At 40.6% G+C, this 27,901-nt stretch overlaps 1 long non-coding RNA gene across 2 annotated transcripts in view, besides 1 other annotated feature; it reads left to right on the forward strand.

Moving 5' to 3' along the window:
* The window catches only part of LOC105377657 (uncharacterized), a 62,560-nt gene extending 35,271 nt beyond the window's left edge, over positions 1 to 27,289 (forward strand). For both annotated transcript variants that reach the window (XR_941055.3, XR_941057.3), the window contains exon 3: positions 26,656 to 27,289. This is a non-coding gene — a long non-coding RNA (uncharacterized LOC105377657). The remainder of the gene's footprint in view (positions 1 to 26,655) is intronic.
* Positions 27,092 to 27,658: an enhancer, noted in NCBI's record as "OCT4-NANOG hESC enhancer chr4:55684653-55685219 (GRCh37/hg19 assembly coordinates)". NCBI's record gives its function as "activates a minimal SCP1, AML or CMV promoter by ChIP-STARR-seq in naive H9 embryonic stem cells {active_cell/tissue: H9 hESC(naive)}" and the evidence as "EXISTENCE:reporter gene assay evidence [ECO:0000049][PMID:30033119]".

Here is a 27,901-nt window from a genome sequence, read left to right on the forward strand (position 1 = left end):
GGCTGCCATATCAAAATATTAAAGCTTGGGTGGCTTGAACAACAGACATTTATTTTCCCATCTTTCTGGAGGCTCAAAGTTCAAGATCAAGGTATCGACAAGTTCGGTTTCTTCTGAGTCCTCTCTCTTTGGTTTGCAGATGGCCACCTCTTACTGCTTCCTTGTGTGGTCTTTCTTCTATGCCTGCATATTCCTAGTGTCTCGTTTTGTGTCCAAATCCCTCTTCCTTTTAAGGACACCAGTCACATTGGATTAAGGCCCACCCTCATGGTCTTGTTTTGTTTCTGTTTTTGAGGTTGTCACCATTTATTGTTGGCGAGGACTTCACAGCCTCATTTTCACAGAATCACCTCTTTCAAGTCCTTATGTCCAAATACAGTCACCTTCTGAGGTACTGGGTTAGGACTTCCACATATGAATTTTGAAGAAACACAATTCACCCCGTAACAATGAAGAAACTGAATCAAAGAAAAATTAAATAATTCAATAACTTTGCCCAAACCACAGGTAGGAGGTGGTAGAGATGGGCTTCAAACCCAGGAAGTCTGGCCCCTGAGCCCATACAATCAAATGCTGCAGTAGACTGCCTTCCATTCCTTGTTATCATCTGTATGATATTTAGCTTGACAGTAAGCCTGGGTTCCCAGAACTGTTTGTACGCTTAATGGTCTAAGTTATGTTAGTCTATAAGCATAGATTTGAGCTTATAGACCCTTTCTATTCAGTGAAGTGTGCCTAGGTGATGGACTAGGGACCCAGCTCACCACACCACACTGCCTTATGACTCTGAGTGCTGCAGGAATTCTGAACAGGAGCTGTCAAAGAAGAGTAACAGGAAGGTCCAGAGTTAACTTAAAGAGAAACTGGCATTTATATTAGATTTAAAGTTTATATTATGGTATTAATATAAGGATTCCAGAAATATGTGAATTTCGAAGCTTGGAGGGGTATCTTTATGTAATTACCCTTATCTTTTGTCTTAATTCCTACTTGTCACCTGCTTTTTGTACTGGAGACCTTTGCCCTATGTCACCACAAGGGTCCTGGTTGCTTTGTTCCTCCAGCTCCAAGGGAAATGCATGCACTTGAACACTCCACCTTGTCTCTTCTGGCATCCTTTATACAATGTTACAGGAAGAGGCCTAACCATGTCTGCAGATGTCAAACAGACGCTACAGGATTCCTCTACACTGTCTGACCTGCACCGTCATATGGGGTAACCCTGGAAGCTTGCAGTGTTCCCAAACCCCAAGACTCGAATCTCTTTTTCAACTCCAGCATCATTGATGGGAGGCAGAGTGTCCCTGTGTCCCCAGCACCATGGACCCTGGGTGCTGCCCGATGCCATTGCTCCCTTTCCTGATCTTGTATTGTTCCCTACCAGACCCTTGGCTTCTAGTGCTCCATGGCCTGTGTCCATCATGGGGATCATTGCCCTGGCACTTCCTGGAGCACAAGTCTCTTTGGCATCCCTGTCACTTTCATCACCACAGCTTTCTCCTCTGCCACTTCCTGTTTGTCCTAGAAATGGAGAATAGTGGATCCTAAGTGCTTTACATATATTAACTCCATGAATCTTCACAACAACACTAAGTTACTTTCCACTTCTACAGAGGATGAAACTGAGATACAGAGAGGGTAAGAAATATGTCTGAGGCCACACAGTAGGTACATGGCCAAGCAAGGACTTAAATCTATGAAGCCTATCTTCAGAACTCAGCTCTCAACCATTACACACTGGTCTCCACTGATCACAAATCGAACTCTCTTTTTCCCCAGGGAGGGTGCAGATGCAGACCCACAAACACATATACATACACGCCAAGGACTGGCCTTGTTGGATGAGTCTAACAGGAACCCATGCACCTAATTCATCAAAAGAGCTATATACAAAGCTTATTGCCCATGTACCATTACTTTATATCCAACAATTTTCAAAGCAGGGGATGCTCTCAAGGTCCCAGAAGCATGCCGGGTACTTTCATGCCTATTATCTCATTTATCCTTACAATAGCATTCTGAAGTAGGTACTATTATCTCCATCTTACAGGTAAGAAAACTGAAGCTCAGAGGGGTTAAGCAACTCGCACTAGGTCACACAACTAATAAGGAGTGAAGCCAAGATTTGGACATAAACCTTTCTATTCAGTGAAGGGTGCCTAGGTGATGGACTAGGGACCCAGCTCACCACATCACACTGCCTTACAACTCTGAATGCTTCAGGAATTCTGAACAGGAGCTGTCAAAGAAGAATAACAGGAAGGTCCAGAGTTAACTTAAAGAGAAACTGGCATTTATATTAGATTTAAAGTTTGTATTACAGTATTAATATAAGGATTCCAGAAATATGTGAATTCCAAAATAAACTTGAGCTTATCTCTGGAGTCTCACCTACCTCTTCACCTCTCACTTGCCAAAACACATCCATTGAGGAAACTCAACCTGAAACATCTCTATAAAGTATTTGGGTTGGAAGTCAATTCCATAAAATCTGCACTTACTAAAACCTTTTCTCTGAAAATGTACTAATAATATATAGCTAGAACTTGCAGACAATGTCATCATTGTTATGGAGATTTGTAGCCAAAATATTCTATTTTGTAGAGGTTTTGTTATTGCCCAGTGATGACATTTTTTGGACAATTTTTAAGAGAGGCAGATGTTCATCTATTTGCTGGTTTTTCCTAGCTTACAAAGCCAACAATGATTTAGACCCAAATTGCTTTTGATCTTCCCAAGTACCTCATTTTTATTATTAAGGGACTTACAGTACAAACGATCTGTCATTTGAGCAGGAACACCCATATGTCAGATGTGGTCGGTTTGATTAGTGGTGCTAAACCCCTGCTAGCAGTTAAAAGAGGTGACTTGTAGAAGTCACAGTGTGGTTAAAGAATTCTGGGGGGGCTCTCTTTGAGAAAGCCCAATACACAAGAATTCTAACCAGCAAAGTAAGTGAATTGGGGGTGACTTCCTGCTGGGTTCCAGTGGTGATGTAAAAATACACAGAACTGGCATTTCATTGTGGATTCTAACCCAGATTCTGCTTCATATCAGCTGTGAGGCCTTGGACAAGCTACTTAGCCACTTTAAACCTCAGTCATAACCTCTGGGCACATTTAATATTTATGTTTTAAACTGTTATGGGGTAACAAATTTTGACATACCTAGTATGGTGTCTGGCACAAAATAGCTATTGAAAATATTTTTCAGTCTTTTAATCTGAAAGACTAAATCTTTCAGAGTCAATTCTGAATTTGCATTTTAAATAATTTTTCATCTAAAAGGGCAAAAGCTTAATTTACATGCATTTCTCTAAGAACATATCTGTTCATCAAAGTAAAAAGGGAAATCCTGAAAGTCTGTAACAGATGCCAGGAATATGTGAAATCCTATTCTCAATTTCCAGGCAGTTGCCTGCCTAACGACTTGGTGTTAGTTGGCCATGTTTGATACTCCCTACTAAAGACTTCAGGGGCGGTGGGATTTACTAACTATGAGGTGAGCAGACCACCCCCTCACTCCGTATCGCCAAGGAGAAAATGTAAATTGCCCATTGTCATTGCTTAGTTCAGTTCAGTTTAGTTCAATGATCTATGGGCAAGACAATGCCTGAGGTGAAAGATACAAACATGAAAGAGATATGATTCTTAGCTTTGAGGGGTTCGAGGGCTGGTGGGAAGACAGATGGACACACTGAGAATTTTGTGTGAGCTGGTCAACTCTGTGATTGGCATATGAGCATGGAGCATATGGGCTTGGAGAAGTCACAAACAGCTTTCTGGAGGAGGTGATGCCTGGGTTCAATCTGGAAGAAGCCATGCATGCATGCCTCCATCCTTCCATTTCTTTATTCAGCAAATATATTTCAAGTGCTAACTACATGTCAAACATTGTTTTAAGCATTGAGGTGAGAGTGGTGAACGAGACAGTCTCTCCTCTTGTGGAAATTACATCCTACTTAGGGGAGACAGAAAACAAAAAAGCAAATAAATATATAAACAGCTTTAGACAGCAATACAAATGCTAAGAAGAAAGTGAGGAGTGAGAAGTAATGGAGGATGTGGGACATGGAACTGGAGGAGGCTATTTTAAGTAAGACTCTCTGAGCAGATAACATTGAGTCAAGACCTGAATGATGGGATGGAGATAGCCATGAAAAGATCTAGTGTCAGAGCCTTCTAGGCAGAGGCAATGGTAAAAGCCCCATGGTAAGAACTACTTTGGTCTATTCACAAACAAAACAAAGTTTAAAACACCAGCTAGAAACCAGTGTAGCCAGAGAGCAATGAGAGAGGGAGGGAATGGCTTGAGGTGAGGGCGAAAAGGAAAGTCTCTTTGCCTTATGATCCATGGTAAACAGAGTCCCCTGTGCATGGGAAGCCACTGGAGGGTTTAAAGTGGGAGAGGGGCATGATCTGATTTTAGGCTTTAAAAGAAGTTTGCAGCAGGAGGTTGGCAGCGCAAGTCCAGAAGAAGGCAATTCCAGGCAGAGGTAGAGTGTGTCCCTTCCACATGCGTACTTCCTCTGGTCAGGGTTGTCTTCCTGCCGCCTCTCATGTCTCTCCTTCCTGTCACAGCATGCATGAGGGCATGGTCTGTGTACACAACCAGGGACCTAAGAGATGCCACTTTTGGGCAGTAATCTGTGGATAATCCCCCCTACTTCTAGCAATTCTGGCCCAATTGCTAGTCACCTCATGTAACACCAGTGAGGGCTCATATCCATTTAGTACTCATACATTCTTTTTGCAGCATTTCTTCATGATTATTTGATTTTACACAGGAAGGTAAAAACATCAGGCAATTTTTTAAATCATCATGTGACAGATAAAGAAGTTGATGCACAGAGAGGTGAATCAGTATGCTCAAGGTCACACAGCTAGTTGGTGACAGTTAGGACTAGAATCCTAGTCCCCTGATTCACAGCCTGTATTTGTCTACAGTGGTTCACAGTGGAAATGCTATTGATATTTGGTGGAGTGGCTGGTGGCGGTGAGCAGTTCTCCATTGTATTAGACTGTTCTAGACATTGTAGAACATTTTGAATCCTTGGTCCTTGCCAGTAACCTCCAAGCAAGAAGCCTTGTGGCAACAAATAAGGCCCCCATACATTTCCATACATCTCCTAGGGAAGGCTGGTGCTACTGTGGTGGGAAACAGTGGAGTCCAATCCTCTCTTGTTATAGATAAAAAGGCTGAGTCACCAGCAGCAGCAGAGACTTAGCAGGTACTTTCATATTTTTAACAAATAGTTTCTGATTGCCTAGTATGTAAGTATTCTGTGTTATATGCTGTGTATTCAGTGTTGAAGAAGGACGTAGTGCTTGTCCTCAGGGAGTTTACAGCATGGAGAGGGTGAGGGTGAAGCACAGGATGCTAATGAACAATTACAAGGCAATGAGTGGTCAGTGTCATGGTGGGTTCATACAGGTAGCATAAGGACATAAAGAAGGGCACCTAGTCCCAGTTTGGAGGCACAGGGAAGGAGGAATTTTCCAACATCCATAGCTTTCCATGGAATCTAATAAGCTTGCATTAATGAAGATGTTTAAATATGATCTGGATTATCGGATGGCTGGGAAAATGTTCAAAAGTACCTAAGGGAGGTCAAACTCACTGATGATTAGTGTCCTTTCCAGCTCTGCAGCCTGGAATTTCTGTTGTATTCAAGAAGACCATAAACAGAATGTACTTCCATTTGATTCCTATAATTTATGTGGCAATGAGGTGATCCCATGTTAAACTGGTTGTTAGGGCCCGAATGTTTGTGTCCCTCCAAAGTCATATGTTGAAACCTAATCATCAATGTGATAGAATTAATAGATAGGGCCTTTGAGGGGCTTTGCCCTTACCAGTGGGACAAGTGACCTTATAAAAGAAGCCACAGAGAGAAGCCTCACTCCTTTCACCATGTGAAAACACAGCTAGATGTCATCTGTGAACCAGAAAGAGGGTCCCCACCAGACAACAACCAGACACCAAATCTGTCTGTACCCTGATCTTGGACTTTCCTCCCTCTAGAATGGTGAGAAATAAATTTTTATTGTTTATAAGCCACCTTCTTTATGGTATTTTGTTATGGCAGTCCCAATAGGCTAAGCCACTGGGTTATAAAGAGAATAAAATACTAAGAATAATCTGCTTTCCCTCAAAGTGATTTCTTTTTTTTTATTATTATTATACTTTAAGTTCTAGGGTACATGTGCACAATATGCAGGTTTGTTACATAGGTATACATGTGCCATGTTGGTTTGCTGCACCCATTAACTCGTCATTTACATTAGATATCTTTCCTAATGCTATCCCTCCCCAATCCCCCCACCCCACGACAGGCCCCCATGTGTGATGTTCCCTGCCCTGTGTCCAGGTGTTCTCATTGTTCAATTCCCACCTATGAGTCAGAACATGTGGTGTTTGGTTTTCTGTCCTTGCGATAGTTTGCTCAGAATAATGGTTTACAGCTTCATCCATGTCCCTGAAAAGGACATGAACTCATCCTTTTTTATGGCTGCATAGTATTCCATGTTGTATATGTGCTACATTTTCTTAATCCAGTCTATCATTGATGGATATTTGAGTTGGTTCCAAGTCTTTGCTGTTGTGAATAGTGCTGCAATAAGCATACGTGTGCATGTGTCCTTATAGTAGCATGATTTATAATCTTTTGGGTATATACCCAGTATTGGGATCACTGGGTCAAATGGTATTTCTGTTCTAGATCCTTGAGGAATCACCACACTGTCTTCCACAATGGCTGAACTAGTTTACACTCCCACCAACAGTGTAAAAGTGTTCCTATTTCTCCACATCCTCTCCAGCACCTGTTGTTTTCTGACTTTTTAATGATCGCCATTCTAACTGGTGTGAGATGGTATCTCATTGTGGTTTTGATTTGCATTTCTCTGATGACCAGTGATGATGAGCATTTTTTCATGTGTCTGTTGGCTACATAAATGTCCTCTTTTGAGAAGTGTCCCTTCACATCCTTTGCCCACTTTTTGATGGGGTTGTTTGATTTTTTTCTTGTAAATTTGTTTAAGTTCTTTGTAGATTCTGAATATTAGCCCTTTGTCAGATGGGTAGATTGCAAAAATCTTCTCCCATTCTATAGGTTGCCTGTTCACTCTGATGGTAGTTTCTTTTGCTGTTCAGAAGCTCTTTAGTATAATTAGATCCCATTTGTCTATTTGGGCTTTTGTTGCCATTGCTTTTGGTGTTTTAGTCATGAAGTCCTTGCCCATGCCTATGTCCTGAATGGTAATGCCCAGGTTTCCTTCTAGGGCTTTCATGGTTTTAGGTATAGCATTTAAGTCTTTAATCCATCTTGAATTAATTTTTGTATAAGGTGTAAGGAAGGGACCCAGTTTCAGCTTTCTATATATGGCTAGCCAGTTATCCCAGTTATCCCTATTTATTAAATAGGGAATCCTTTCCCCATTGCTTGTCTTTGTCAGGTTTGTCAAAGATCAGATGGTTATAGATGTGTGATGTTACTTCTGAGGCCTCTGTTCTCTTCCATCAGTCTATATCTCTGTTTTGGTACCACTACCATTCCTCAGCAAATGTAAAAGAACAGAAATCACAACAAACTGCCTCTCAGACCACAGTGCAATCAAATTAGAACTCAGGACTAAGAAACTCATTCAAAACCTCACAACTACATGGCAACTGAACAACCTGCTCCTAAATGACTACAGGGTAAATAACGAAATGAAGGCAGAAATAAAGATATTCTTTGAAACCAATGAGAACAAAGGCACAATGTACCAGAATTTCTGAGACACATTTAAAGCAGTGTGTAGAGGGAAATTTATAGCACTAAATGCTCACAGAGAAAGTAGGAAAGATCTAAAATCGACATCCTAATATCACAATTAAAAGAACTAGAGAAACAAGAGCAAACAAATTCAAAAGCAAGCAGAAGGCAGGAAACAACTAAGAGCAGAACTGAAGGAGACAGAGACAAAAAAAACCTTCAAAAAATCATTGAATCCAGGAGCTGGATTTTTGAAAAGATTAACAAAATTGATAGACCACTAGCAAGACTAATAAAGAAGAAAAGAGAGAAGAACGAAATAGATGCAATAAAACATGATAAAGGGAATATCACCACTGATCCCCCAGAAATACAAACTACCATCAGAGAATACTATAAACACCTCTATGCAAATAAACTAGAAAATCTAGAAGAAATGGATAAATTCTGGACACATACACCCTCCCAAGACTAATCCAGGAAGAAGTTGAATCCCTGAATAGACCAATAACAGGCTCTGAAATTGAGGCAATAATTAATAGCCTACCAATGAAAAAAAGTCCAGGACCAGATGGATTCACAGCCGAATTCTACCAGAGGTACAAAGAGGAGCTGGTACCATTCCTTCTGAAACTATTCCAATCAATAGAAAAAAAGAGAATCTTCCCTAACTCATTTTATGAGGTATCATCCTGATACCAAAGCCTGGCAGAGACACAACAAAAAAGAATTTTAGACCAATATCCCTGATGAACATTGATGCAAAAATCCTCAATAAAATACTGGCGAACCAAATCCATCAGCACATCAAAAAGTTTATCCACCAGGATCAAGTCAGCTTCATCCTTGGGATGCAAGGCTGGTTCAACATATGCAAATCAATAAATGTAATCCATCACATAAACAGAACCAAAGACAAAAACCACATGATTATCTCAATAGATACAGAAAAGGCCTTTGACAAAATTCAACAGCCCTTCATGCTAAAAACTCTCAATAAACTAGGTCTTGATGGAACGTGTCTTAAAATAATAAGAGCTATTTAAGACAAACCCACAGCCAATATCATACTGAATGGGCAAAAACTGGAAGCATTCCCTTTGAAAACTGGCACAAGACAGGGATGCCCTCTCTCACCTCTCCTATTCAACATAGTGTTGGAAGTTCTGGCCAGGGCAGTTAGGCAAGAGAAAGAAATAAATGGTATTCAATTAGGAAGAGAGAAAGTCAAATTATCCCTGTTCGCAGATGACATGATTGCATCTTTAGAAAACCCCATTGTCTCAGCCCAAAATCTCCTTAAGCTGATAAGCAACTTCAGCAAAATCTCAGGATACAAAATCAATGTGCAAAAATCACAAGCATTCCTATACACCAACAACAGACAAACAGAGAGTCAAATCATGAGTGAACTCCCATTCACAATTGCTACAAAGAGAATAAAATACCTAGGAATCCAACTTACAAGGGATGTGAGGGACCTCTTCAAGGAGAACTACAAACCACTGCTCAACAAAATAAAAGAAGATACAAACAAATGGAAGAACATTCCATGCTCATGGATAGGAAGAACCAATATCGTGAAAATGGCCATACTGCCCAAGGTGATTTATAGATTCAATACCATCCCCATCAAGCTACCATTGACTTTCTTCATAGAATTGGAAAAAAACTACCTTAAAGTCCATATGGAACCAAAAAAGAGCCCGCATTGCCAAGACAATCTTAAGCAAAAAGAACAAACCTGGAGGCATCGTGCTACCTGACTTCAAACTATACTACAAGGCTACAGTAATCAAAGTGCTTTCTACCAAGTATTGACCCACTAAACCTGACCTTTATTCCATCTGTCCACTCATACAGAGGGTTCTGTTAGGACTAAGCAAGCCCCAGCTCTGGGTGATGCGGGTGGGCTTTGGGGAGGACAGGGCAGGGCAGGACAGGTCCTCTATGGAGGAATTTCTAATTGGGCACTAAGAATTTTTTCTTCCTAGGTAGCCAGAAGAGCTGAGGAGAGCCCCTTAGCTCCAATTTATGCTGCCTTCTGCTGATCCAGGGAGACTGGCAGTTTAAATATTAGCTGGGGACAGTTCACTAACACCTCTGTGACAGGGAAGAGAGTCTCAAGGGACAAGGGTGCCCAAGAACCACAAACCTCATTCTGCCTTCCAGGAAGTGAAGTGTCAGCTTTCAGCAAACGTTCCCTCTGCACAAGGACAGAAAATGCCATCTAGAGAGCTGCTCTAACTGGGTTAAAAGTCATGTTTGTGTCACTTGTGTCAAAAGGACATGGCTTAGAAAAAGGACTCAACCACTAGACAGGGAGATGATTGTGGATTGCTGATGGCTTAGATTTAATCTTCAAAGGATAAAGCTGTCAGTGTTAGCTTTTCTTGTTGCTTCTGTATTTCAGATTGGAAAATTTTTACTCAAACCAGATATATGTCAGCTATCTATGGGATAATTTAAAGAGAAAAACAATGGCTATTAGATTTTTTTTTTCAATTCTCTCTTCTCTGTCCATCATTCATGTTCTATTTACCATCTAAATGCTTCCTCTAATTTCAAACATTCACTCCAGTTTGGCTTTAACAAATCCTTTCATGAGGGCTCAACTTTATCTTACCATCAACTTGGTTTTGATGGAGGAGAGGCATTGAGATAAATGGGCTATGCTCTTTAAGAATCTAGATTAATTCACTTTCTGTGTTCAATGTTCAGTTTAGGATTCCAAAGATATCTTGTTGTGGTTAATCAAACTCTCCACTGACCTCTGGCTCAGAATCATCAACACATTTAGGAAAAATTCTTGTTTTTGGGAACTCCTCAATTTTCAGGAGTGTGTATTTTAAGCTCCATCTTCCTTCTTTCTCATCCTCACTTCCTGTTCTGCATGGCTTGGGCTTCTGTTTTTATCTCCTTTCTTAAGTTTTCTCCCTTTTTCTTCATTGTTTCCTTCTTTGTTTTCCCCAATTTCACTCAAACCCCACCTTCTTTTGACTCAAGAATTTCTCTCCAGCAGGATGCTCTCCTTAGGATATAGCTTAAGATTCCAAGGCTCTCCACATATTCAAACCAAAAGTTATTCTAGGGTCTTTTCCCTAAATAATATTAAGTAATTATTTAACCTTTGTTAGAAATACATGGTCCCTTATAGAAAATGTAACATGCAACCCAAAAGGTAAAAACTACCTATGATCCTCCTACCTCAAAATGAACACTTGACATTTTGGTGTATTTTCTTTCAAATATGTAGATGTATATATTCTAAGCAAAACACTTTTTTCCTTAATTAAAAAATCATAAAAGAACATTCCAAATTCCCAGAAATGCAGAGGTATGATGAGTCACTCCATGGAGATCTGGGCCAAAGGCAGCTGGCAGAACTCACTCCAGATCCTCAACAAACAGAGCTTGTGGTTGTCATTCAGCATTCACGGAGAGTTTTGCTTGATTTTTCACACCCCTCAACTGTGCATCAGCATCACCTGGGATGACAGAAAAAAATACAGATGTCTGGTTCCCACCTGCAGAAGTTTTGTCTCAGTTAGTCCAGGATGAAGCCGTAGCACCAACACTTTTGTTTTCCAATACCCCTACATAATTCTGAATTATAGCTGGAGTAGACAATGGGTACCAAGAGTCTGTGTTGGGCTCTTGCACCATGGTGAACCATACCTGAAGATGCCATATAAGTTGGAGGCTTTGGGAGCTTATGAGTTGCCTCTCTGCTTGATGTGGAAAGGTATTGTGGTGGTGAGGCGGGCATGAAAACTTAGCTTTCTAATGGCCAATTGGCTGGAAGACTCTGAATTGTTTTATGTTGTCATTTCATTCCTCCTCACCCTTGTAGGGTCCAAGGGAAAGCCTCTTCCTTGACTATGGAAGGTTTGCTGAACAATCAACTCGCAAAAGGCAGGTTAATTGGAGAAAGGGCATACAAATTTAGAATGAATGAATACAGAATGAAGATCCAATGGTAAAGGAGAAACTGTTCATTTTTATGCTTAGGTTCAACAAAGTATGGACAGCTATGTAGAGATATATTTGGACAAAAAGGTTATGATCTGATGCTAGAGGACTGATTGGGGAAGCCCAGTGAGGCCTGTCAGTCTAGATTCCTCTTGGCTTCTGTGTGTCATTCCTTCCTCCTGGGTATGAAGGGGTATGAAACAGGGCCTTCCCTGGAATTAGGGTCCCATGACCTAGAGTCAAACAAGATGGGTCACGTCATTTCTCTATGGCCAGTTTTTATACAGAAAGGCAGAATGAAAGTTAGAGTAAGATTTTTATGTTTAATGGCTGGCTTTGGGGACAAGGGGTTCTAGTTTCTATGACCTGCTCTAGGGACGAGGGATTCTAGTTTCTTTGGCTAGCCTTGGGGGAGAATGACACTAACAGACAAGAGGGCTGGAGAAGGTCAGAGAAAAATTTTTGCTTCTGAGGCCTTCATTTTGGCCTCAGAACCCCAGGGTGTTTTCTGAACCCCAACACCCTCTTCATTTTCCATTTTCCAGCATATTCCAGGTACATGAACTGAACTCCCTTCATGGCCTCCCTGTCCCTTCCCAACAGGTCCCGCTTCTTCCTTTACTCAAGTTCTCCTCACTCCCATGGGCAATGACTGGAGGATTGCAGATTGTTGGCTAATGCTTACAGTCTTTTGTCTTCCTGAGAAACTACTGGCTATATAGCGATAAAGAAATGTATACATAACAAGATAAAGATAGTGAAATCTTGATTAATCAGAAGCTTCAATTTTCAGAAAAATATTAGCTCTATTCAATTTTTAGGAGGGAGCAGTAATCATAGGAAAATAATTTGAGGGTCAAAGATTTCATTGACAACAAAACCAAGCAGTCAACAGATTCCTGGGGTTTCTAAACCTAGGATCCATGGATAGATTATAGGGATATTATGAACCCTGGAAATTGAAGGCAAAATGGTGTGTTTGTGTGTGTGTGTGTGTGTGTGTGTGTGTGTGTGTGCGCATGCATGTGCACATGTATTTTTCTGTGAAAAGGGTCAGGATTTTTTCCAAAGGGGTCCTAATTCAATACAGTTTAAGAATCACTATTTGAAGGTGTATTTTGCTGTGTGGTTTCTATACTCCAGCATTACTTCTTATCCTTCCATCTTCCTTGCCTCTCACATCAATCTAATTTGTGTCTTGTCTCCATTCACCCCCCAAACCCACTTCCCTAGGCCAGGCCCTTTCCACCTTTCACTTTGAAACTGAAGATGTCTCTCGACACAAACAAATGAAAAACACATCCCATGCTTATGGATGAGTAGAATCAATATTGTGAAAATGACCATACTGCCAAAAGCAGTCTACAAATTCTATTCAATTCCCATCAAAATACCACCATCTTTCTTCACAGAATGAGAGAAAAAACTCCAAAATTTACAAGGAACCAAAAAAGAGCCCACATAGCTAAACCAAGACTAAGCAAAAAGAACAAATCTGGAGGCATCACATTACCTGATTTCAAAGTATACTATAAGGCCATAGTCACCAAAACAACATGGTACTGGCATAAAAATGGCAGATACCCCAATGGAACAGAATAGAGAATCCAGAAATAAACCCAAATACATACAGCCAACTGATCTTCAACAAAGCAAACAAAAACATAAAGTGGGAAAAGGGCACCCTATTCAACAAATGGTGCTGGGATAATTGGCAAGCCATATGCAGGAGAATGAAACTGGATCCTCATCTCTCACTTTATGCCAAAATCAAATCAAGATGGATCAAATAGTTCAATCTAAGACCTGAAACTATAAAAATACTAGAAGGTAACATCGGAAAAACCCTTCTAGACATTGGCTTAGGCAAAGATTTCATGGCCAAGCTCCCAAAAGCAAATGCAACAAAAACAAAGACAAATAGGTGGGACTAAATTAAACTAAAGAGCTTTGCACAGCAAAAGGAACTCAGCAGAGTCAACAGACAACCCACAGAGTGGAAGAAAATCTTCATAATCTATACATCTGACAAAGTACTAATATCCAGAGTCTTTAAGGAACTTAAACAAATTAGCAAGAAAAAAACAATCCCATCAAAAAGTGGGCTAAGGACATGAATAGACAATTCTCAAAAGAAGATATACAAGTGGCCAACAAATGTATGAAAAAATGCTCAACATCACTAATGATCAGGGAAATGCAAATCAAAACCGTGATGTGATACCACCTTACTCCCACAAAAATGGCCAGAATCAAAAGATAGAATAATAATAGATGTTGGTGTGGATGCAGTGAACACAGAACACTCCTACATTGCTGGTGGGAATGTAAACTAGTAAAACCACTATGGAAAACAGTGTGGAGATTCCTTAACTAAAAGTAAAACTAACATTTGATTCAACAATTCCACCACTGGGTACCTACCCAGAGGGAATGATGTCGTTATATGAAAAAGGTACTTGGACATATATTTATAGCAGCACAATTTGCAATTGCAAAAATATGGAACCAGCCCAAATTCCCATCAGTCAATAAGTGGGTAAAGAAACTGTAGTATATATATATATATATATATATATATATATATATGTATGATGGAATACTATTCAGCCATAAAAAGGAATGAATTAATGGCATTCACAACAACCTGGATGGGATTGGAGACTATTATGCTAAGTGAAGTAACTCACGAATGGAAAACCAAGCATTGTATGTTCTCATTTATAGATGGGAGCTAAGCTATGAGGATGTAAAGGCATAAGAATGATACAATGGACTTTGGGGACTCAGGGGGAATGGCTGGGAAAGGGGTGAGGGATAAAAGGCTACAAATTTGGTTCAGTGTATACTGCTCAGGTGATGGGTGCACTGAAATCTCAGAAAGCACCACTAAAGAACTAACTCATGTAACCAAATACCACCTGTTCCCCCAAAACCTACGATTGGACAAAAAGAACATTAAAAAAGAAAGAAAGAGAAAAAGAAAGAAGGAAGGAAGGAAAGAAGGAAAGAAAGAAAAAGAAAGAAAGAAAGAAGAAAGACAGAAAGAAAGAGGGAAAGAAAGAAAGGGGGAGGGAGAGAGGAAAAAGGGAAGGAAGGGAAAGGGAAGGAAAGAAAGAAAGAAGAAGGAAAGAAAGAAGGAAGGAAGGAAAGAAGGAAAGAAAGAAAAAGAAAGAAAGAAGAAAGACAGAAAGAAAGAGGGAAAGAAAGGGGGAGGGAGGGAGGGAAAAGGGAAGGAAGGGAAAGGGAAGGAAAGAAAGAAAGAAGAAGGAAAGAAAGAAAGAAAAAAGAAAGAGAAAGAAAGGAAGGAAGGAAGGGAGAAGGAGAGAGGGAGGGAGGGGAAAAAGGAAGGAAGAAAGGAAGGAAAGGGAAGAGAAAGAAAGAAAGAAGAAAGAAAGAGAAAGAAAAAAAGTTGCAGAAGTCTCTGATCTAGATTACTCTCCCTGCTTTCTGCCTTCCTTTCTTTGCTCCTTCCTTTACCAAACATCTCTCCCCCATCTAATTCATTTCATGGCTACAAGATACTCTTTTAAACCCAGATCTGATCAAAGCCATGCTCCAACTTAAAATGTGTCCTCAAAGTGCCTACAGGAAAGCAATTATGCCTATTGTCAGGTAACTTAAGTCCTTTTACACTCTGGTCCCAGCTAGCTTTCTACCACTCTACATCCCCACCTCTGCACCTTGACATCTTCTATGCCCTCCACCTGAAATGATCTTTCCTTTCCTTCTCTTATTATACTCTAAACATTAATTGGCATCTCTACTATTGACCCTGCCATAATTCCACCAGTTCCCACCCTGAACTCCCAAGAATTTTGCCTGTGCTGGAATACTCCAAATATACTGTGGGTTTGGTTCCAGACCACCACAATAAAGTGAATATTGCAATAAAATGAGACACACTTCTTTTTTTTGTTTCTCAATATATATAAAAGTTATGGAGATTCCATTCCAAGATGGCCAAATAGGAACAGCTCTGGTCCACAGCTCCCAGCATGATCAATGCAGAAGATGGTGATTTCTGCATTTCCAACTGAGGTAACTGGTTCATCTCATTGGGCCTGGTTGGACAGTGGGTGCAGCCCACGGAGGGTGAATTGAAGCAGGGTGGGGAATCGCCTCACCCAGGAAGTACAAGGGGTTGGGGGATTTCCCTTTCCTAGCCAAGAAAAGCCATGACAGACTGTACCTGGAAAATTGGGACACTCCTGTCCAAATACTGAGCTTTTCCAATGGTCTTAGCAAATGGCACACCAGGAGATTATATCCTGCGCCTGGCTCAGTGGGTCCCACACCCATGGAGCCTTTCTCACTGCTAGTGCAGCAGTCTGAGATCAACCTGCAAGGCAACAGCCTGGCAGGGGGAGGGGCGTCTACCATTGCTGAGGCTTGAGTAGGTAAACAAAGTGGCCAGGGAAGCTCGAACTGGATGGAGCCCACACAGCTCTGCAAGGCCTGCTGCCTCTGTAGACCCCACCTGTGGGGGCAGGGCATAGATGAACAAAAAGGCAGCAGAAACCTCTGCAGACTTAAATGTCCCTGTCTGACAGCTCTGAAGAGAGCAGTGGTTCTCCGAGCATGGTGTTTGAGCTCTGAGAATGGACAGACTGCCTCCTCAAATGGATTTCTGACCCCTATGTAGCCTAACTGGGAGACATCTCCCAGTAGGGGCTGACTTACACCTCATACAGGCGGGTGCCCCTCTGGGACGAAGCTTCCAGAGGAAGGAACAGGCAGCAATATTTGCTGTTCTGCAATATTTGCTGTCCTGCAGCCTCTGCTGGTGATACCCAGGCAAACAGGGTCTGGAGTGGACCTCCAGCAAATTCCAACAGACCTGCAGTTGAGGGACCTCACTCTTAGAAGGAAAACTAACAAACAGAAAGGAATAGCATCAACATCAACAAAAAGGACATCCACACCAAAACCCCAGCTGTAGGTCATCAGCATCAAAGACCAAAGTTAGATAAAACCACAAAGATGGGGAGAAACCAGAGCACAAAAGCTGAAAATTCTAAAAACCGAGGACTTCTTCTCCTCCAAAGGATTGCAGCTCCTCACCAGCAATGAAACAAAGCTGGACAGAGAATGACTTTGATGAGTTGACAGAAGTAGGCTTCAGAGGGTCAGTAATAACAAACTGCTCCTAGCTAAAGGAGGATGTTCGAACCCATCGCAAGGAAGCTAAAAACCTTGAAAAAAGATAGGACAAATGGCTAACTAGAATAAACAGTGTAGAGAAGACCTTAAATGACCTGAGGGAGCTGAAAAACATGACATGAGAACTACGTGATGCATGCACAAGCTTCAATAGCTAATTCAAACAAGTGGAAGAAAGGGCACCAGTGATTGAAGATCAAATTAATGAAATAAAGTGAGAAGAGAAGTTTAGAGAAAAAAGAGTAAAAAGAAACAAACAAAGCCTCCAAGAAATATGGGACTATGTGAAAAGACCGAATATACGTTTGATTGGTGTACCTGAAAGTGACAGGGAGAATGGAACCAAGTTGGAAAACACTCTTCAGGATATTATCCAGGAGAACTTCCCCAACCTAGCAAGGCAGGCCAACATTCAAATTCAGGAAGTACAGAGAACACCACAAAGATACTCCTTTGTGTGTATCTATGAAGGGCAACCCCAAGACACATAATTGTCAGATTCACCAAGGTTGAAATGCAGGGGAAAATGTTAAGGGCAGCCAGAGAGAAAGGTCGGGTTACCCAGAAAGGAAAGCCCATCAGACTAACAGCAGATCTCTTGGCAGCAACTCTACAAGCCAGATGAGAGTGGGGGCCAACATTCAACATTCTTAAAGAAAAGAATTTTCAACCCAGAATTTCATATCCAGCCAAACAAAGCTTCATAAGTGAAGGAGAAATAAAATCCTTTACAGACAAGCAAAGGCTGAGACATTTTGTCACCACCAGGCCTGCCTTACAAGAACTCCCTAAGGAAGAAGTAAACATGGAAAGGAACAACCAGTACCAGCCACTGCAAAAACATGCCAAATTGTAAAGACCATCGATGGCTAAGAAGAAACTGCATCAACTAATGGGCAAAATAACCAACTAACATCATAATGACAGGATCACATTCACACATATCAGTATTAACCTTAAATGTAAATGGGCTAAATGCCCCAATTAAAAGACACAGACTGGCAAATTTGATAAAGAGACAAGATCCATCAGTGTGCTATATTCAGGAGACCCATCTCACGTGCAGAGACACACACAGGCTCAAAATAAAAGGATGGAGGAAGATCTACCAAGCAAATGGAAAGCAAAAAAAACAGGGGTTGCAATCCTAGTCTCTGATAAAACAGACTTTAAACCAACAAAGATCAAAAAGACAAAGAAGGCCATTACATAATGGTACAGGGATCAATGCAACAAGAAGAGCTAACTATCCTAAATATATATGCACCCAATACAGGACCACCCAGATTCATAAAGGAAGTCCTTAGGACCTACAAAAAGACTTAGACTCCAACACAGTAATAATGGGAGCCTTTAACACCCCACTGTCAATATTAGACAGACCAACGAGACAGAAGGTTAATAAGGATATCCAGGACTTGAACTCAGCTCTGCACCAAGCAGACCTAATAGACATCTACAGAACTCTCCATCCCAAATCAACAGAATATACATTCTTCCCAGCACCACATCACACTTATTCCAAAATTGACCACATAGTTGGAAGTAAAGCACTCCTCAGCAAATATAAAATAACAGAAATCACAACAAACTGTCTCTCAGACCACAGTGCAATCAAATTATAATTCAGGACTAAGAAATTCACTGAAAACCGCACAACTACATGGAAACTGAACAACCTGCTCCTGAATGATTACTGGATAAATAACGAAATGAAGGCAAAAATAAAGATGTTCTTTGAAACCAATGAGAACAAAGACACAACATACGAGAATCTCTGGGACACATTTAAAGCAGTGTGTAGAAGGAAATTTATAGCACTAAATGCCCACAGGAGAAAGCAGGAAAGATCTAAAATCGACATCCTAACATCACAGTTAAAAGAACTAGAGAAACAAGAGCAAACAAATTCAAAAGCTAGCAGAAGGCAAGAAACAACTAAGATCAGAGAAGAACTGAAGGAGATAGAGACATTAAAAAAACCTTCAAAAAATCAATGAATCCAGGAGCTGGTTTTTTGAAAGGATTAACAAAATTGATAGACCACTAGCAAGACTAATAGAGAAGAAAAGAGAGAAGAATGAAATAGATGCAATAAAAAATGATAAAGGGGATATCTTTGCCAATCCCACAGAAATACAAACTACCATCAGAGAATACTATAAACACCTCTATGCAAATAAACTAGAAAATCTAGAAGAAATGGATAAATTCTGGACACATACACCCTCCCAAGACTAACCCAGGAAGAAGTTGAATCCCTGAATAGACCAATAACAGGCTCTGAAATTGAGGCAATAATTAATAGCCCACCAATGAAAATAGTCCAGGACCAGACAGATTCATAGCTGAATTCTACCAGAGGTACAAGAAGGAGCTGGTACGACTCCTTCTGAAACTATTTCAATTAATAGAAAAAGAGGGAATCCTCCCTAACTCATTTTATGAGGCCAGCCTCATCCTGATACCAAAGCCTGGCAGAGACACAACAAAAAAAGAGAATTTTAGACCAACATCCCTGATGAACATCGATGCAAAAATCCTCAATAAAATACTGGCAAACCAAATCCAGCAGCACATCAAAAAGTTTATCCACCAGGATCAAGTCAGCTTCATCCTTGGGATGCAAGGGTGGTTCAACATACACAAATCAATAAACGTAATCCATCACATAAACAGAACCAAAGACAAAAACCACATGATTATCTCAATAGATACAGAAAAGGCCTTTGACAAAATTCAACAGCCCTTCATGCTAAAAACTCTCAATAAACTAGGTGTTGATGGAATGTATCTCAAAATAATAAGAGCTATTTAAGACAAACCCACAGCCAATATCATACTGAATGGGCAAAAACTGGAAGCATTCCCTTTGAAAACTGGCACAAGACAGGGATGCCCTCTCTCACCTCTCCTATTCAACATAGTATTGCAAGGTCTGGCCAGGGCAGTTAGGCAAGAGAAAGAAATAAATGGCATTCAATTAGGAAAAGAGGAAGTCAAATTGTCCCTGTTTGCAGATGACATGATTGTATATTCAGAAAACCCTATTGTCTCAGCCCAAAATCTCCTTAAGCTGATAAGCAACTTCAGCAAAGTCTCAGGATACAAAATCAATGTGCAAAAATCACAAGCATTCCTATACACTAATAGCAGACAAACAGAGAGTGAAATCATGAGTGAACTCCCATTCACAATTGCTACAAAGAGAATAAAATACCTAGGAATCCAACTTACAAGGGATGTGAAGGACCTCTTCAAGGAGAACTACAAACCACTGCTCAGTGAAATAAAAGAGGACACAAACAAATAGAAGAACATTCCATGCTCATGGATAGGAAGAATCAATATCGTGAAAATGGCCATACTGCCCAAGGCAATTTATAGATTCAATGCCATCCCCATCAAGCTACCATTGACTTTCTTCACAGAACTGGAAAAACTACTTTAAAGTTCATATGCAACCAAAAAAGAGCCCACATTGCCGAAACAATCCTAAGCAAAAAGAACAAAGCTGGAGGCATCTTGCTACCTGATTTCAAACTATACTACAAGGCTACAGTAACCAAAACAGCATGGCACTGGTACCAAAACAGATATATTGACCAATGGAACAGAACAGAGGCCTCAGAAATAATGCCACATATCTACAACCATCTGATCTTTGACAAACCTGACAAAAACAAGCAATGGGGAAAGGATTCCCTATTTAATAAATGGTCCTGGGAAAACTGGCTAGCCATATGTAGAAAGCTGAAACTGGATCCCTTCCTTACACCTTATACAAAAATTAATTCAAGATGGATTAAAGACTTAAATGTTAGTCCTAAAAACCCTAGAAGAAAACCTAGGCAATACCATTCAGGACACAGGTACAGGCAAGGACTTAATGACTAAAACACCAAAAGCAATGGCAACAAAAACCCAAATAGACAAATGGGGTCTAATTAAACTAAAGAGCTTCTACACAGCAAAAAGAGTGAACAGGCAACCTACAGAATGGGAGAAGACTTTTGCAATCTACCCATCTGATGAAGGGCTAATATACAGAATCAACAAAGGACTTTAACAAATTTATAAGAAAAAAACAACCTCATCAAAAAGTGGGCAAAGGATATGAAGAGACACTTCTCAAAAGAAGACATTTATGCAACCAACGGACACATGAAAAAATGCTCATCATCACTGGTCATCAGAAAAATGCAAATCAAAACCACAATAAGATACCATCTTATACCAGTTAGAATACCATCTCACACCAGTTAGAATCATTAAAAAGTCAGGAAACAACAGATGCTGGAGAAGATGTGGAGAAATAGGAACACTTTTACACTGTTGGTGGGAGTGTAAACTAGTTCAACCATTGTGGAAGACAGTGTGGTGATTCCTCAAGGATCTAGAGCTAGAAATACCATTTGACCCAGCGATCTCATTACTGGGTATACACCCAAAGGATTATAAATCATGCTATTATAAAGACACATGCACACGTATGTTTATTGTGGCACTATTCACAATAGCAAAAACTTGGATCCAACCCAAGTGTCCATCAATGATAGACTGGATTAAGAAAATGTGGTCCATATACACCATGGAATACTATACAGCCATAAAAAAAGATGAGTTCATGTCCTTTGCAGAGACATGGATGAAGCTGGAAACCATCATTCTGAGCAAACTATTGCAGACAGAAAACCAAACATAGGTGGGAATTGAACAGTGAGAACACTTGGACACAGGGCAGGGAACATCACACATGGGGGCCTGTCATGGGGTGGGGGCCAGGGGGAGGGATAGCATTAGGAGAAATACCTAATGTAATGTAAATGACAAGTTAATGGGTGCAGCAAACCAACATGGCACATGTATACCTATGTAACAAACCTGCATATTGTGCACATGTACCCTAGAACTTAAAGCATAATAAAAAAAGTTATGTTTACACTCTATTGTAGTCTATTAAATGTGCAATTGCATTATGTCTAAAAAATGTACATGCCTTAATTTAAAAATATCATATTGCTAAAAAGTACTAACACAGAAACATGAAGTGAGCACATGTTCTCAGAAAAATGGCACGGATAGACTTGATTGACACAGGGTTGCCACAAATCTCAATTTGTAAAAATGCAATATCTGTGAAGCGCAATAAAGCAAAGCCCAATAAAATGAGGTATATCTGCGACTTGTCTTTTTATGCAAGTAAAAATCATTTCTGTACATGTTTCCATTTCCCTTGAGGACAATGCACACATGATTTATCTCTGTATCCTCTACAGGTACTAATATAACATTTTGGCATGTAATTAGTGCTCTATAAATGTTTGTTTAATATTACCGTCTGTATTAGTCAGCTTGTGTTACAAAATACCAAAACCTGGGTGATTTATACAACAGAAATTAAGTTCTCACAGTTCTGGAGTCTGGAAGTCCAAGATCAAGGTGCCAGAAAATTTGGTTTATGGTGAGGTCTCACTTCCTGGTTTGTAAGAAGACTGCCTTCTCAGGATGTCCTCATGACCTCTTTGCCTCTTCTCATGACCTCTTTTCCATGTGCACAGACAGAGAGCACGCACTCTGGTTTTGTCTCCTCTTCTTATGAGGTCACCCGACCTGGTACATTAGGGCCCCACCCTTATGACCTCATTTAAACTCGATTACCTTTGTAAAAACCCTGTCTCTAAACCCCGTCTCTACTAAAAATAAAAAAAATTAGCCGGACATGGTGGCGGGTGCCTGTAGTCCCAGCTTCTCGGGAGGCTGAGGCAGGAGAATGGAGTGAACCCAGGAGGCAGAGGTTGCAGTGAGCCGAGATTGCACCACTGCACTCCATCCTGGGCGACAGAGTGAGACTCCGTCTCCAGTTAAAAAAAAAAAAAAAAAAAAAAAAGCCTGTTTCTAAATACAGTTACATTGGGGGTTAGAGCTTCAACATATGAATTTTAGGGGCACACAGTTAAGTCCATAACACCCTCTTTGTTCTCTATCTGTATCTATCTAAAGTACAAATAGACAGCCTCTGATGTGCTTGATAAGGATCTAGAGTCTTGGTTGGTTTCTCAGTCAACAAATAAGAAGCTAGTTGTATTTAATGTCCTTTATTTACTAAGAGGAAAAGAGACACCACTTGACACTTTAGCATGTTGTTTTCCAAACTCTAGTCATCTGTACATCACCATCATGATTTTTGTCATCTCATCATGCCAAATGTACCACTGTTTACATAGAATCACTCTTCACATTGGTTCATGTTTTTACTTCAGCATTTTAGAAAATACTATATGTGAAATCATAGGTTTGATTACATTTCCATAATATACATTAAAACAAATATATTATAATTAAAGTAATTTGTTCAGAATGTTTGCTACTCTACCCCACTGAGCCCTACCACTGTACCGGGATGGTCTCATTTCCATCTCTGTTGATGTCAGGCTCAGTCACTTGACTGGCTTTGTCCAGTGATGTTTGCTGCTCCTAAGCAGAAGATTTAAGTGGCATTTCCTGGACTGGTCACAATTCTTTCCCAGCCTCAAGACTGTACTTTAGCCTAGTACTGAAAAGAAGAAAATATGAAACAAAGCTGAAACCCACTGGCAACCTACAGGTTTGGGAGTGGGAGATAAATGTTTTTTATTGTAAGCCACTGAGATTTTCTTATAGGTCATTCGTTACTGCAGCCTAACTTAACCTATGCTGACTAATCAATTGCTCATTCTATATTACCTAAAGTCATCTTATATAATAACACTTTGAGAAATACTCCTAAAGTGTCTTCTGCGGACTTGAATTGGGGAACAACTGTAAAGTATTGATGCATTTTTCAAATGACTCATTGCTTTCATCTTATTGAGAAATTATTTAAATGGAATGTTTTTAAACCTGTGAATGTTCCACATCCTTACAAATCATGGCCTATAGATTTGCTGTTCCACTGGGTCCCTGCTCTTGTAGCATCCATAGCTCATGATGGCAATTCTTTCACAGAAAGGGGGAAACCATTGCACTTTAAAAATAGCCTTTAGTCTCAAGAAGTGGTGATGGAGACTTGGCACTCAGATGACCAAAAAGGCACTGCTTGTCTCAAATCCTCCAGTTTCTCCCACAGATACTTCAAAGACTTTAAAGGAAGCTGGACTTTGGGAAGTGCCAGGCCCTTGAAGTTGGGCACAGAGCATGTGGGAATGCTTTTCAGGGCTAAGACAGGTGGATGATTTTTAACATAAGAGGACTGAGGATTAAAAAAAAAAAAAACACACAGAGTGTAAAATTATTCTTTATCTGTTTGCCCATTATCTAATCCATGTAATCTTCTACAAAATACATGTTTTCTGCTATGATCAGGGAATGGCAATGAAGTGATTCATGAATATTCAGGTTTTAAAGAGTTGTCATACCTGCTACGTAAGAATAACACAATTTTAAAGAACCACATTGTCATTAAAATAATATATAAATAGAAGACATAATTAAACCATTATTTAATTCGAAACATACTTCTTAAAGCTGCTGTGGGCCTCTGTGGAGAACAACAACCATCTTTTGACTTCTGTTCCCCTCCATTCTTCTCCATTCTGCTGCCCTAGATAGTAATTATCTCCTTTTTGCCAAATAAGAAGTCTTTCTTAGTTCTCTTTCTCTTTAACTCCTTGGCTACATTTAACAATTAACCTCCATCTTGAATTTCACTCTAATCCAGTGTTCTATGAAAGTCCACTTTCCCAATTCTTCTTTGAACTCCTAGAAAATTTTTTTTTCACTTTCTCAGCTCATTTTCTTCCTCTTATGTAAGTGAGCCTGCTCCTTCAATATCCTTTGACCTCTGTTTTTGTCCTGTTACCCTCTTTGCTTTAATAAACTTACCCATCACTACAGTATCATTTTGAGGCTGTCATCTCCATCCCTGGCAAATATTTTGCTCCCAGGATTTGTAATTTCCACCAACTCAGAGGTCATATCTACTTGGATGTCCTACTATCATTTCAAACTCAACATGGACAAAACCACGCTATCTTCTGACCAATACAATCTACCTTTTTACTGCTCACCACATTCCCATTCTCCTAGGAATCATCATTTATTCATCCCTCTTTTTTAGGACCTCAATTCAATCTATCTTCAAGTAAGTTATTTTTATCTTTAAAGTATTCTTTGGATCTTTTTGTTTTCTTCTAATTTCTACTTTGAATATCCTTGTCCAGACTACATAGCACCCTGCAACAGCATCATGCCATGATGTATGAAAGATGCTCAGTGAGGCAGATGCCTCTGGTTGCCTATTAAGTATCTAGTCTCCCCTCCTTTTTTATTACAATAGCTCCAGTAACGTGGGGGAGGGAGTCAATAGCAACACACCCAAGTAAAAATATCTTTCCTGTTATCCCTGCATCTAGGGGTGGATGACTTAGTTCTGCCGATGAGCAACTCTACTACACAAGAATTCTGGGAGAGCTATGGTTTTCCCGATAAAAGGGAAAACCCAGCTGGTGCGTGCCTTTGTCTTTCTCCTTTCCTTCTCTGCCCCCCACCGTGGAATGTAGATGCAATGTCTGTGGTTAAAACGCCATAGTTTAAATCAGACAAGCTTAAGTTTTAAACCCTACCTCAGATCCTTTTTGTGTGGAGACCATGGAAAACTTACCTATCCTCTTTAAGCCTCACTTTCTTATCTGTAAAATGGGTACAACAATATCACTAGGTTGTTGGGAAGATTAAAAGTATTAATATGTTTATAAAACGTTGAGAATGATGATGCATATGACCTTGCCATTACCAGTAAATGGTGGATATGATTCTGGCTGTTTCCATTCTCTGAACTCCTGTTGTGCTTAGAATAATTATGATACATATTTTCACTGCCACATTTCGTCTCCTAGATTACCTGCCTCCTTGGAGACAAGGAGACTAGAACCACCTTGAGGCCATTGACTATCTTATCTGCTTGTTTTATAGCCTTCGAATTGCCTTGTTCAGTTCTAGGTGTGTAGTGGGCTCTTTAAAACAGTAATTTATTGACAGATTATCTGATAAGTACACGAAAATCAGGTCTCAGGACAAATTAAGTATTTGTAGAAGTTAAGATACCAAGGGGAAATGCTATAAGAATTATGATTTTGCACTGAAAACTTATCTAACCATCTTCAGAGAAAAACCTGGATGTAAACAGTGAGCCTGCTGTGGAAGGTTTCTACCCTGCACCAGGCCTCATACTGAGTCCTAATTCAGCCTCTCTTCCCAACCCCTCACATGCTCATTCAACTCCAAAGCACTGGGGAGCAGTGCAGATTTCCCTGGGAAAAGAACTTCCTAAACATCTCCTTTAACATCTCAGTCTTTCTCCTCTTGTCTCTTCCTGGTTGCTTTCCTTCTTTTCAGCTTTCTCCCCTGAAAAAAGACTTGGGAAAATCCCCATATGAAGACCCTTGTTTGCAACACTTAGGTTCCCTCCTGAGCTTGTACACCCTCCCTGGCCACCAGCAAACCCAAAGTCCTAGTGGTAAGCAGGGATTGCATGGCACATCCCCGGGAGACAGCATACTTCTTAGGATCTCCCTCTGGGGAGGGTGATTTGTAGATTTATTGCAGCTTGATGTGGCTTCATTCCTATGCACCAGGGCAGTTTTTCACTTCCTTTACATCACCTCCAGCCCTACTCTGCTACTTCCCTCCATTCTCTACTTCTCTCACCTCCACACTGCAGCCTTCTGTTTCTGTCATCTCTCTTTGTCCTAATCATCAACCTCCATCCTTTTTGTTTCCAGAAGGCCTGCGGCTAGTGACTGAGGCGGGGGTGCACCACGTCTTCAACCAAGGGCAGCACAGAAGAAGTAGAGTCCCTCTCAGCTGGAGGGTCTGATGATGCTTCTCTCCTCATCAAAGCTGGAGGCAGGAGGCAGCTTCCTGTCCATGACTCTCACCGCCTTGTCTTGGTCATGGCAAGTTTTTATTTGCTCCCCAAATAGACCAGGGTTCTATGAATAGGCACACCCAGTTATGAATGGAGAGAAGCTTTAAATCAGGATATTCTAACACCTTTATTACTCACGGTCGGTAGGGACCAGAAATATGGAGATTAAAGTGTCCATCATGTCACTAGAATCCCTTGGGTATAGGATCTTACTGCGTGGCCTTATCTTTCTTTTATCAAAACATACACACACAAAAGACATTTACCTGCCACATGCACCCCCAGGATTTGAAAATGGAGCACAATAAAAATAAGCTGACAGTGGGAGAAAGTGGCATATTCATTTTCTCTGTCATTACCTTTGATTATGAAAAAGCCCTGAGCAGGTGTCAGGTTTTTCCGCAGCTCTCTCAGGAAGATCTGGGCTCCAGGTATTTCCCACGTGAGTTCATGGGATGCGGGAAGATGTAGGCACTGAAGGCCGCTGACATCCTATTATGACTGAGCAGCAAATCTGCCAGGAAATAAACATTCTAATGTAGATTTCTAGGATTTGCTCCAATTTTCTCATGAAAAGAAAGCCATCTCTGACAATTTACAGATCATTTAGCTTCTCCACATGATGTGTTTGATTCTCTTTTCTCCCCTTTCCTCTTCTTACTTGAGTCTGCCACCACCGGCTATTGCCCTGGTTGTGTTTGTTACTGTGTGTGTGAGTGTGCATGTCTCGGCATGTATGTAACCTTGAACTTGTACATTAACATGCTTATGATTCTCTGGGATCATTTTTATTTTCAAATATGGAGACTGCCTCGTCCCTCCCCTCCCTCCCCTCTTCTCCTCTTCCTACCAAGCTGCTCTTCTGTGCCTCTGTTGTAACTGGGTCATGTTTTTGACTCTAGCAAGAGGAAACAAGGGGCCTTCAGTGGGAAAGCAAGAGGTTTCCAGTGCTCACCAAATACAGATGCTCAGGAAATGGGGGACTCATGTGGCTTACATATAGGGAACTTCACAGCTAAAATACCATGTCCTGTGTAGGAGGCCCAGATCACTTCTCGGCGTGTCCCAGCCTGCCTGCCTCCAAATGTCCTCTGGAATAA

Source organism: Homo sapiens, chromosome 4, assembly GCF_000001405.40.
Source record: "Homo sapiens chromosome 4, GRCh38.p14 Primary Assembly".
Taxonomy (NCBI): domain Eukaryota; kingdom Metazoa; phylum Chordata; class Mammalia; order Primates; family Hominidae; genus Homo; species Homo sapiens.